Source organism: Homo sapiens, chromosome 7, assembly GCF_000001405.40.
Source record: "Homo sapiens chromosome 7, GRCh38.p14 Primary Assembly".
Lineage (NCBI taxonomy): Eukaryota > Metazoa > Chordata > Mammalia > Primates > Hominidae > Homo > Homo sapiens.
In genome coordinates this window covers 128,809,873-128,822,945 of record NC_000007.14, presented here as the reverse complement: position 1 = coordinate 128,822,945, position 13,073 = coordinate 128,809,873, and the positions used below count along the sequence as shown (strand labels likewise).

Below are 13,073 nucleotides of genomic sequence, written 5' to 3'. Positions count from 1 at the left end.
TCCCAATTAGATCCATCTTCAGGCCTCTGTCCTGCTCTAAGCTCCAGGAGGCTGAGCTTGAAAGATTACATCACCTGGGCACCTCTGCGCTTTGTCTTCCCATTGAGTTCAGCTGATAAGGTACCAGTAGAATACTGGCAGGTGGGAGGAGAAGGTAGGGGAATATATATCCCACTTCCTCACGGCTCTGGCGGGGGCTGCACCCCATGTGGCTGCCACTCCTGCCTGGGGCCCATTTTCAGAGCTCCAGCTCTTGCTTCCTTTCCTTCCTGCTTCAGCCTGGGATGCTAACAGCTTTACACTGTTGCTAGTGCCTGGTACTTCACTATTTTTTGTTGCTTCTCCTAACTCTGCCTTTGGTACATAGTCTCTTCATTAAACTCTCTTCATGTAAAGCTTTGAGTGTGCCACCTGTTTACTGCCAGGACCCTGGCTGATTAAAGTCATCTCTGAGGGCGAATCCCTTGAGAAGTCACAAAGGCTAAGTCACGAAGGCACACACGTGGATCTTCTTAGGGCGGCCTTCTCATGTAGATAGGTGTGGGCACAGAACCTTAGGGGAGGTCTCCCCAGCCCTCAGTCACTCCATTTCTCCATGCTCAGGAGAGCACCTCAGGATGGGGTTAATAAGCACAGACTAACCCCTCTGTGAGTCAGTCGACAGCACAAGGGGCTAGCCTCATTTCTGAGGCCATCTGCAAGGTGAGAAGCCGCATTTAGGAGTCAGACCCTTATGTGAGGTACTTGGTTAAAGGGGGACTGCTCTGTTCTGGTTGTGTTGTGAGGCATTTAGCAAATAAAAATCCACAGTCTCATGTAATTCAGTTGATATTTAATTACAAGGAACTCAGGTTCTTACACAAGGCAGGAGATGGAAGTCAGCCGCTCCCCACAAGCCTTTTCAGCCTGGGTGACTGAGGCTGAGGAGATGGGGACACATGGAACATATGGGGAGGGTTCTGGCACAGTGTGTCCTGCCCAAAGCTGAGGGTGGTGGCCACTGGGGATCTGCCCTCGCGCTGGCCAAGGTCTGCCATCACTCCATGAGGCAGAACTCTGACTCCTGCTGTCGCATGTTGGGTAACACATACAGAGCCACAGCTGCAATAGCCAAGAATACCATAGGCTTCCACAACCCAAACATGTTCTGTGGGGACCAAAGAGAAACTGTGAGTGCCCAGCCTCCTGAACCCTGCCCTAAGCCAGAAGTCACCTGCCTATGGGTGCCCAAGACACCTCAGGAACATTGTGGATCAGTCTCTGTTACCTCCTGGGTAACCGGTGGAGGTAAGTGATCTCTCAGTCCTGGCACCACTAGACATGTGGCCCAACACTGTACGCACCACCTTAGGTGACCGCCTGTATTCAGGCCTCCGTTTCTCCCCATGGGCTGAGAATACTAGCTCCCATGTGAAGAAGCAGGCTCAGGGGCCAGACTTCCAAGTGGTTGCAATGAGAAAGGACTGGATGCCATGGCAAGAAAGAGGAGGGGAAATCTGGGGCTTTGAGAAAAGCAGCAGCACCTCATTAGTTTCACTGCAGTGAAGTGAACTCAGAGTCAAGAGGATGGGGAAGGGGGAATAAGGCTGAGGGGAAATGAAGAAAGTGCACCACGGAGTGCAGGTAAGTAGGAGGTTCTTAGGCAGACAAACTTTGACAGAGAATGACATTGGTTCAAGGAAATTTAAGGAAACCTGTCACTGGGCCTAGGTCATTAGAACACTCCTAATCACCAGGTATGTTGACTGACTTCCTGGTGCATGTGCTAGAGTATGCTGAGGCTTCCAGACACTGCCGGCCACTAGGGAACCCTGCTGATTCATGGGACAAGTGGCACCATCGAAGATATCCAAAAAGCATCCATTAGGTAATATGAAAATCTTAGACAAGAAAATACATACTTGGGGAAATAGGTTTTATTTTTATTACTTTTTTACTCTACTAACTGAAAGGTAGAATTTGGATTTTGAGTCATAAGCTATGGCATAGGTAACAGAAGGATGGTTTCAAGTAAAAATGGAATATAGCCCATTAATGCTAAGAACACATTTTCTCAGATGATAATTGATCTAAAAAGAGGACTTTAAGCCTGCTAAAGAGCAAAGAAAATCTCCTGAGCTTATAGAAATAGCTACTAAGAACAACAGAAGGTATGAAATGGAAAGCCAAGCAATGTTACAGGTGGATATACAGAGTAACTCATGTAAGAAAACCAAGAGATCCGGAGGCTGAGGGAGGAGGATCGCTTGAGACCGGGAGTTCAAAGTTACAGTGAGCCATGATCATGCCGCTGCACTCTAGCCTCGGTGACAGAGCGAGACCCTGTCTCTAAAACCAAAAACAAAAACTAAGAAGGGAGCTAGCTAGAAAAAAATATTTATATGCTCAGATGCCTCTATCCTAATGTGCATTGCTAAGAATGTTAGTCTGGTGTTCTTAAAGGAGGGAGGAGCTGAAATCCTTAAATGTGACCCGTGCACCTCACACTGGGCAAAGGCAAGCTTCTACATGGGATGGGGAAAGGGCTGGTGTGGGTGTCCCAAAGGGGAAGTCGTGTCAAACTCTCCTTTTAAACTAGGTGACCTAAGTGACAAATCACCGGAATCATGTTTTTGGACGTTGAGTTGTTTGACAGAATTTTCTATGATCTTTGCAGATAATATGCAGAAATAAGGGTAGGATGACAGTACAGTTTGTTGAATGGCAGGTAAGTGACCAATGAGCTGAATAAAAGAACCCCAAGAGACGACACTCTAGAGGCTCTGTCCTCACTCTGTCCTCTGTAGATGAAGACAGGGAAGGAGGGCTTGCCACCCCTGTAGATGATGTGAAGGTGGCAGAGGAAGTGAATATTTTAAAACCACAGGGTCAAGATTAAAAACACATACACACAAAACCTTATAAGGTAAGAACAATGAACTATAATAGGGAAGAATGGAAAATTCTGCCTTTGAAGCCTCAAAATCAAATGCAGGTACAGAATGGGGAGAGGACGCTTAGCATACACAATCTGCAGAGGGGCTTATAAAAAATACATGAAATAAATAAATAATATATTAGTTACCTAAAGAGCTAATGTGATCTGAGGTTGCCTAAACACAAGTATGGTGTCTTCCTACTTGGGACCAATGAAGAGAAACTGCTCAAAATGAGGAGAGACAATAAAGGGAAGCAAGACTGGAATCTTATTTGTTGCTAATATTGAGTCCTTATAATCTGACTCGCAGCTTCCTGGCTGTTTTACTTAACTTCTCTATGCCTTAGTTTAATCATATATAAAAAAAAATAGGAGTAGCTTCTTCATGGGGTTGTTGCAAGGATTAAATCAGTTAATATACGTAAGTGATTAGAACAGTGCCTGACACATAAGACTGCATTTTGTAAGTGCGTGCTCTTTTTATTAATGATGGGGTATTTTATAATTTATAGAATACTTTCATCTACTTCAACCCATCTGGTCCTGACAAAAACCTGTGAGGAGGGCAGAGGTTCGATCATCCTTTGCTTACATTTGAAGAAACTAGAGCTCAGAGTGTGCATTTTGCTCCCTGGGACAACGCCTGTCAGTAGAGACAGACTCAACCAAGTTCTTCTGACCGCCTGGCAGCCACGCTTTCTACCACACTGTGCTCCCTCAGGTCCTGGCTGCACAGGTGCATGTTGGGGCCTCCTGGAGCTCTGGGGATAACAGGCCCCACCAGGAGAACCCTTCACCAGCAGTTCTTCCTCTCCCTCTGATTGGGCCGGGCTGGGTCTGAGGTAGTGGAAGGCTGTGGCTGAACTCTTTGGGTTTCACCCGTAGTGCCTTAAGACTTCTGGGGGGTGACAGGGGAGAAACAGTCATAGAGAGGGGCCCCGTCACTAAAGCAGTTGTGGACCAGGGAGTAAAGGGAATACCTAAAGTCAAGAAGAAAAGTGGAGGCTTGAAGATGAGTAACAGGAAAGCTGGGGAGGGAGCAGGAGGAAGGACAGAAAAGGAAATGGAGAGAAGTGCCACCAACAAATCCTCCAGTTGCCACCCTGTGCATTAAGCTACATTCCGTTCACAGGAATGTGAGAAGAGAGGGGAGTGGAGGGGGAGGCAGGGAAAGCATGAGAGAGGAGCCAATGCAGGACTAGAGAGAATACCTTATGGGTTCCAGAAGGCAGGTGGAACCCCAGGCTTCTACCTTAGGCCGTAAGACCACATTCTGCCTCCTGAATTTGGTATCCTGTTGACAGTGTACATTACATGTGTGGGAGCTGACAGGAAAGTGGCCAGAATATATCAGTCTTGATTTCCTGAGAACACACATCTCTGGCTAGTAGAAACTTTTCACTAATACCTCATTCTCTCCAGAAAACCTAGCTGGGGAAGCCAATTACCATGGAATCTGGCCCACAAAATAGATAAATAGATAACTAATAAAATTTCCCGGCATTCTGTTCTGACTTTTCCGGAGACTGGAAGTCCAGAAGCAGAGAACTGTTCAGTAGAAAGAGCAGAATACAGTAGGGGTTCGGTTCCATTTCACCAAGCTTGATGGACCAGCTTAGGTTGCCCTCCTACCAATGCCCCTGGGAGGATCATGAGGATCAGAGCTCTTCAGAGCTCCTCTCTCTCCCAACAGAAGAGGGATTCCTTATTTTGCCATCTTGGGTAGCAACAGTAGTGAGAACTTGGCTCCGGAGTTAAACCAAGACAAAGAGAGTCCAGGCCAGCCTTGCAAATATCAGCTCATCAGAAGTGGTCAGGCTAGCCATCACACAGAGGATGAGCGGGGATAAAGAAGTAGTGAGGCAGCTTTGACAGCAGCAACCAAGCTGGGCTTATCCAAGTTTTTCCCAGCCAAGGATTGAAACAAACCATGTCTCTGGCAAGCATTCCAACCTCCTATGCATTACGAAGACATGCTCAGAGATGTCAGAGGCTTTGCAGTAGCCCAAGGAAAAGTCAGAACTAAAACTCAGACCTGAGCATCACCTATTATAAAATGGCACAAGCAAGAAGCAAGCAGCTGGGAGAAAAGGGAAAGAGGAGAGGCCAGGGCAACCTGCACCCTCCCTCTATCCCTCAGAAGGAGAGGAAGCAATACCAGTACCTGCATTAGGACGACGTCTCAGCCCACCAGCACCAGAGCAAAGCCGAGATGACCACCAGGCCTACAAGAGGCAAGGAGAAGATGGGGGGATTGGGGGTAGGGGATGACTGCAACACACCAAAATGAGAAAGAAGCACGAGGAGAGACCAGGAGATGTGAGACATAAACGCATGGATCCAACAGATAATGAAGATGAGAAAACAAAGGGAAAAGAGAAAGGAATCAAGAGGTTAAAAAACAGGTAAGCTAGAGCAGTTGCATGTCTTTTCTGCTGCCTGGGCCTTGGTTCTTTCCACCGGCAGTCTGCAGGAATTGCAAAATTGAATGGGTTAAGCAGCAGCTAGGTCCAAGTCAGGCGGTGAGTCCAGTTTTCTTTCTGTCTCGTCACATACCTCTCATATCCTGTCAAGCAGGAGGTATCTGCATCTAGACCTTTCTTGTGACTTTTCCTAGGTCACTCTAGGAAGAGCCAGTCTTCTACCAGGTCACCTGTCCCTTTGTTCTAGCCTGCTTTCCATTAAGTTTCTTAGTATTTTGGGCTCTGGTCCCTTAGATCCCCTAGGAATCTAATGATATCATTGTAAGACAACATGCACCGAAACAAACTGACAATGGAGAAGGGCTAGTTCTTTCACTGCAACAATCTTCCAGAGAGAAACCGATTTTGCAAGGTGGTAATACACATGCCCTAGAGCTGCCTGCAAAAGACGCAGGACCCACGGGGCAAAGGGATCTCTCCATATATAGAAACATAGAATATATTTGAAGTAGAAAAATCAGGTCTAGCTTTAGAAATGTGGCACCGAAGGTAAAGACATCTGTGAGGCTCTGAACCAGCACGTGGTGGAATATGATGAGCTCAAGGAAACATGATAGTGGGAGGGGCTGCAGTGGTTCCGACTTTCCACATCTTAGGTAATGGTCCCCTGGCACAAGGTAAGCAGAGCACTGCACACTGGATCCTTAGCCAGTGCTGAAGACCAAATTGCTGGAAATTCCAGATATCCTCAGAGTTGACTGGATAATCCCACCACAAGAGGCTTTTTTTCTTTACCTCTGTTTAGAACAGAAAGAACCTGTAATGTAAGCTGAGGACTTACACAGGAAATACTCTAACTCTGTAGGGACTCTGAGCCCTGAGTTAAGTCCAGGGCAAGAATTCAGTTGCTACATACCTGCAGAGACGTACCAGTTATTAAAATATGGAAGTACTTCTATATTGTTGGTAAGTTACCTCTGGCATTCTGGCATATATATCCCAGGATACCTCCACCCCAACCTCTCAATGATCTAGCAACTGAAGGGTTAAGGCTAGGGATGGTCTCCTTGGACTAGTCTATGCTCCTACTGTACAGATGTGAAATATTTTCACTATCACTCTTGATCACTTCCAGGCCCCACCTTCATGTCCTGTGATATACAGAATCCAGGGGGCAACATGAGCCTACAAAGAAGAGATTATCCCCTGACACACCCCTAACAGCAACAACAAAGGTTAAACCTAACAGGGCACCATAGGAAAACTGGACTGAGTGACTTGCCCAGACCGACAGAAATGGCCTGAAGTAGACTTCACACTGTCAATGTCCTTCCTGCAGTGCCAAAAGAGGGATGAGGGAACACTCCCGACATAAGGAAGGTAACAAAGGCTACTACGTAAATGAAAGGACTCCAGAGACCCCACGCTGGTTCCCAGAAAAGGTGGTCATTGTGAGGTGGTTCCACAGCAAACGGGGCTGAGCCCATGATTTCGTGCAGACAGACTGCTCTCATCTCCCACTTCTGCATCTCCACCTCCCCGAAGGGTTGTGCCTTAGAGCGCGAGGCCTCCACTCCTGGAGATATCCATCCTTGGCAGGGCCACCCATTAACTCGGAGTTATCTGAGCCCAAGACCCCACTTCCCACTTGATCTAGGCTTTGGCTCTGGTTACCTTTTTGCTCTCGGAAAGTCTGAGGGGGTTATTTTCTTCGGGACTTTCAAGGGAAGAGTCGGCGTCATCCTCCTCCTCTTCACTGTCTTCTTCCTTCTCCTCTTCCTCTTTGTCCTCTTCATTTTCCTCCTGATCTTCTGTGGATTTAGCTTCCTCAGGATCTGCTGGCTCAGCAACTAGCTCATCCCCACACTGCTCCTTTGCTTCCTCTTTCACTTGCTTTTTTTCCTCCTCCATCTCCTCTTTCTTTTCCTCCTCTTTTGCTAGTCCATCTAATTTCCTCTGGCTGGCCTTGTAGTACAGCACTACCTCCAGACTCTGTGGGGTGGGAGTAGGGCAGGATGGCGGCTGCGTTACCTGTGAAGCTCCTAATCTCATGACAATGCTGTACTAGCTCCAGGAAACATGACTTCCAGCATGTCAGAGTGCAAGGGTGTGGCCCGGTGCTCTGGGACTGTGAGCCAATCCCCTGAGCATATGTAGAGGGCATCACACCTCACCTCTCAGGGCCACTATGTCTGTTGGCCATTAAGCCATTTCAAACAGCTACCACAACTAAAGAGTCTTGGGCTCTGCACCTAAATTGTTGCTTCCCACCCCTACAGTGACTCTTCTTTTACCCAATCCTCTTTCACTTATTAGTACATAACTACTTTGAACAAATTCCTCCCTCTTCATCTATTTGGTTCTTCTCTTGGGCATGTAACCCAGGAAGAACAGGAGCCCCAACAAATGGGGCTGGGCAAACTGAAGGAGTTGTCCAGCCTAGGGGCTGTGGTCCTTTGGGGCTGCACCTCCCGATGTGAGTTGTCTGTGTTCCACTCTCCCCATAACTTCACAGGAAAAGGGAGCACCCACTTTCCATTAAGATGGGAACCACTGTAGACACTTCAGAGATCCCAGAAGCTTCTCTACAAATCCCTTGCCTGGTTGAAAGGGTTGTGGAGGCAATGCTTCTTCCCAGGATCTCCTCCTCCTTTCTGCTTATCTGGCTACCAAGGTTACTACTCACCTTTCTGGTCTCAAGGTCGCTCTCAGAAGTATCCGAGCATGGCTTGGTCACCTTTTTCATTTTAACCCCATTGGCATTCTTGTTCATGTTCTTATTAGCATTCTTCCCCCGGGCTTCTTTGACAACAGAAGGCCTCTTCTCCCTGAGCTGGCGGAGCTCCTCCTGGCAGCACTGCAGCTGCCCCTCCAGCTGCTCCTGCACTACCAGAAGCCGCCCCTGCTCATCCATGCTAGCCTGGTATTGCAGCTGCAGCTCCCGCAGCTTGGTCTGCAGTTCTTTGATCTGTTGGTAGTGGAGGGCCAGTTACCCAGAGTTGGCTGGTTATGCAACCAGTTGGCTGACCACGCAACCAAACTCAGCCCTGCTTGGGGGTCACTGTCTCAGAAATCTCCCTGTTAAAGCCCATAGGAAGTAGACAATAAAGAAAATATTCAACGGTGGAAAATGAGCCTCTCAAATAGTTTTACAAATAGCTTCTCCTAACTTGAGGCACCTGATGATGTCCATCTAATAAGATGAAAAAAACGGCAGGGCGCAGCGGCTCACTTGCCATCCAGTGTAATCCCAGCACTTCAAGAGGCTGAGGTGGGCAGATCACTTGAGGTCAGGAGTTCGAGACCAGCCTGGCCAACATGGTGAAACCCCATGTCTACTAAAAATACAAACATTCGCTGGGCTTATTGGAGCGCGCCTGTAGTCCCAGAAACTTGGGAAGCTGAAACAGGAGAATCACTTGAACCCAGGAGGCGGAGGTTGCAGGAAGCTGAGATCGTGCCACTGCACTCCAGCCTGGTGACAGAGCAAGACTCTGTCTCAAAAAAAAAAAAGAAGGTCAAAACAATGATTTAAATGGTGTTTTCTACTGTGACTGGGGAATAACAATAGGGCTGCTACCAATTCTGAACCTCAGGGATTTATTATATAATTCTTTTTTTTGAGACAAGAGTTTCACTCTTGTTGCCCAGGCTGGAGTGCAATGGCATGATCTTGGCTCACCGCAACCTCCGCCTCCTGGATTCAAGCGGTTTTCCTGCCTCAGCCTCTTGAGTAGCTGGCATTACAGGCATGCGCCACCATGCCCAGCTAATTTTGTGTATTTTTAGTAGAGATGGGGTTTCTCCAAGTTGGCCAGGCTGGTCTCAAACTCCTGACCTCAAGTGATCCACCCGCCTCGGCCTCCCAAAGTGCTGAGATTACAGGGGTGAGCCACCGCACCTGGCCTAGAATTCTTTTTATGGGAACTCCTACTTCATCCAACCCATCTCTCTAACAGGAACAATTACTTAAAGAACTGTGTTGTACACTCCTGAAGTGTGTACTGGGCTCCTGCACCTCACCCTGGAAACAGAGGCAAGTCACATCCTGCTCCCTGATCTCGGGTTTTGTCTTCCTTGGCTGATGGCAGCACACAACCATCCCCTCAGTAGGTACCAATACTAGCCAATCTGGACCCATGTGTTCGCTGCTCTCTGAATCTCTCCCGTGTGTATACAAAGAGACCCCCACTGGACCGTGAACCCCTGGCCAGAGACAAGACTTCTGTCCCATTCCTAGGGGGTGCAGAGCACTCTTCTTGGCATTGTGAGCGATCCAAAAGGAGACATGTCCCTGTCCTTGAGCTGCTTGCAATCTAGTTGGTGCTCCTAGTTGGTGCACCGGGAGACAAGGCAAATGCACACAAAATGATGAAAGAAGATTGGCAAATGCAAAAATACAGTTCTACAGAAGTGGTCTAGAACACAAAGCAAAAGAGAACAGAAGTGGCAAAGGGAGAAAGAGAGAAATCATTCGATGAGAGAAGTCCTGATGACTAGTAAACCCCAGCTCCACGGGCACTTGGGAAATGTCATCAGGGATGGAGCAGACTGCCCAGCCTCTGAGGTGCATATTCTCCCTGCTTTGTCCCTCTCTTTAGCCTCTATGAAGTGGCCATGACCTCTATGGCTCCAGGGGCTGCCAGAGGAAACCCTGCCTCCCTGACAGTGGTTACCTCATTCTTGTCGTTCTGGGGGGCCATGGGCTTTTCAAGGCATTCCATGCACTCCTTGAACTCCCTTTCACAGGCATCCAGCTCTTCCTTCAGGTCTTTCTGCTTGGCCAGTAACTTTTCCATCTGCTCTTGCAGCTGGCTGTGTTCCTCCTGGCTTATCTGGTACATGGCCTGCACCGCCTGCAGCTTGATCAGCACTTTCACAACCATTTCCTCAAAGCGCTGCGGGGGGTGGGGGAGCAACAATAGCACCCTGAGGAGCACCTAAGCTCCGCCCTACTCTGCTGGGCCCTTCCCTGGATACCAAACAATGGCCACCAGGATCCAGAGATGCCCGCGGGGGATTACTATATTTACCCCCATAAAGAGCATCGTGGCTGTGGTGAGGAAACGGACTGAATCTTATGGGCCTCTGTCCAGATGGGGGATTCTCTCTATGAGAGGGCTGAGCGGGAGACCAGGCTGCCATGGGTAGAGGGCTTCGCTTACTTCCAATAGTTCCCCAGGTCAGTTCTGACCCCATTCCCACACTTCTTGCCCCTTCCCCTGGCGATGTATCTCTTAAAAAGACAAGAGTCCATCGTCCCCTGCCTGACCTGTCACCTGGCAACCATTACCTCCATGTCTTCAGGCTCAGCAGGTTCCTCGTCAGTGCAGCTGCTGACAAAACTCTTCTGGCAGGTGTCAGAGCTACTGGTGCTGCCGTAACTCTTCTTATAGGTAATGCTGCTGTTGCTGGTAGTGCAGTAACTCTTCCCATAGGCCTCACTGGCACTGGTGCTGCTGTCATAGCTCTTGAGAAAGCTCTTGCTGCTGGTCTGGGTGCTGGTGTAACTCTTGTAATAGCTCTCATTGTCATCCACAGTGGTATCATAAGTCTTGCGACAGTTCTCATTGCTGGGGACCATGCTACCATAGCTCTTCCCGTAGGACTCAAGGCTCATTTTTATAGAAGGGGACTGGACTTGAAGCAGCTGCATTTCTTCCAGGCAGAGCTGCAAGTCTGCCTGCAGCCTCTTCCGCTCCTCTAGGAGCCTCCCTTGCTCTTGCTGCAAGAGCTCCTGCTTCGCCTGACCGGCGTCATACATCACCTGCAGGGCCTGCATCTGCTCCATGAGCAGCTTGGATTGCTGGGGGCAGGGGTGGGGAGACAGTATCATTACTCTGACACTTCAGTCCTTCCAGCTGCACCTCTCCTGGTACAGATGTCTGAGAGCACACCTTAGAGAATGGCACACCTACATTTCCACCTCACCCCGGCCTATGTCTCTGACTTAGCCTATAGGTAACTGGCATGTATCAGTTTCTTGCTCATTTGGGAAAATCTCCCCAGGGCAGATACTCCATGATTTCCGGGCTCCCATTTCGGCTGGTTTCTGCACTTTGGTACATCCCTGTCTCCTTGGAGCAGTGCCGAGTGGGTTTCCAGAACACCCTGGCTCCCTACCACACCCTCTTCTCAGTCAGGTATACCTGTTATCCTGACCTTCAGGCTCAGTCCCCTCGCCCACCCCTAGTTCTAAAATCAGCCCCGGCCTTGAATGCGGCAATATGAAGAATTGGAATCAAAGTCTTACTATTAGTTCCTGTATCTCCTGCCCCAATTCTGAATCTGGCCTCTGGGCATGTTGGGCCTGGCTTCTTGGCTGCTGATGTCCAGGATGAGATCTGATCAGTTAAGGAAATATTTTATACCTGGTTCCCAGCTGTGTTACCCAGGCCTCCAGCCTGGACATCTGATGCCCCTGGAATATGATCCAGCCTCACAGTGTTGACTTCTGCTACTCCCTGGTTCTCCTTGTTCAGAATAAGATCTGAATGAATAGATTTGGCCTAAACCGAAACTGTCTACCTGCCCCTCCTTGCCCACGCTGAGACCTCAGAACAACTTTATCCCCCAACCCTGAAGAGAATTGTATGGTGATCTCCACCTGTGTCACCTCATCTGAATGACCTCTTGCTGGTACTTGAGAGGCATCAATTTTCTGGTCTAACCCCTGTGACCTTGCTCTGTTACTGCCACCAAAGTTCCAATGAAGATAGTGTGGTCAGTACTAAGAACCCCATATGCTAGGAATTCTTCTCTTGGAAATGAAAGGCCCCAAATTTGCCTCATAGAGAACACCAAAGGTGATAGATTTTGATAACTGAGAAGTGTACTTTTCCACTCAAGAAAAAGATGACATTTAGAGTCAGTCCAAAGGAATCCAAACAAACACCAAACTGATATTATACATCTTACTGGGAATGAGTCGAATGATCTGATGACAGACTTCTGGTCATCCCAGCTCTGCCCTGAGTGCTCATAGTGCTTCAACTGGGCACTGTGAATATCAGTGTGATAAAGGATAATGGCATCTAGGTGAGGTCCTCAGGCCGTATCTAAAAGCCACCTCTTAATGGAGCCTGTGAGTGGTCACAGCTGGTGAAAGGCAGGGCTTTTGCCTTATCCTTACCCCTGGCCAAACACGCCTTCCCAACTCTGACCCTTCGGCGGTGCCCACTCTCTCTGCCATGCTGTTGTGCTCAGGAGAACTGTCTCCCTACCTCTTGCTATGGTTACCTTGTTTCGATTACATTTGGAGGACTTAGCCAATTTGGAATCATCGGGATTCTCCAACACTTCCTGGAAATGAGACTCTTTGAAACGTCGCAGCTCTTCGTGGATCTCTAATTGTTCTTTTAATACACAGTCTTGGTTCTGTATCAGCTTCTTCTGTTCCTCCTGCATGCCTTGGTAGAGCAGCTGCAGCTCACACAGGTCTTCTAACTTGGTGAGTAGCTCCTGACTCTGAGGCGGAGTAGAAGGAAGGAGGCAAGGGATGGTGGTGGTCACACAGGAAGTCTGATGCCTCCTTGGTGCCTCATCCCCGTTGTGAACAATTCCCTGAAGAATCTCAGGGTTGACTTCACAGAGCCCATCTGGGGACGGGGGAGCCCTTCTATGGAGACCTGCTAAAAGTGGCAGTGGTCTCTTGTGTTGGGATATATTTTGTAGTTTACAAAGTGGCTTCAGGTGCATTTTCTCCAGATGGACTAAATACCTAAATATAAACT

At 48.5% G+C, this 13,073-nt stretch overlaps 1 protein-coding gene across 26 annotated transcripts in view; it reads right to left on the bottom strand.

Moving 5' to 3' along the window:
- Positions 1-815: 815 nt before the first annotated feature.
- The window catches only part of CCDC136 (coiled-coil domain containing 136), a 31,370-nt gene continuing 19,112 nt past the window's right edge, over positions 816-13,073 (bottom strand). For 6 of the 26 annotated variants that reach the window (NM_001367763.1, NM_001367761.1, NM_001367762.1 and 3 more), the window contains 2 exons: positions 5,082-5,188; positions 816-1,147 (listed from right to left, as the gene is read on the bottom strand). In NM_001367763.1, the coding sequence (NP_001354692.1) occupies positions 5,087-5,188 (102 nt within the window). In that variant the 3' untranslated portion in view covers positions 816-1,147; positions 5,082-5,086. Of the gene's footprint in view, positions 1,148-1,901; positions 3,816-5,081; positions 5,189-7,014; positions 7,333-8,026; positions 8,309-10,016; positions 10,239-10,633; positions 11,147-11,593; positions 11,685-12,579; positions 12,808-13,073 lie in introns of those variants that run through there. The other 20 variants (XM_024446874.2, XM_011516483.2, XM_011516486.2 and 17 more) reach the window with 12 other exon arrangements.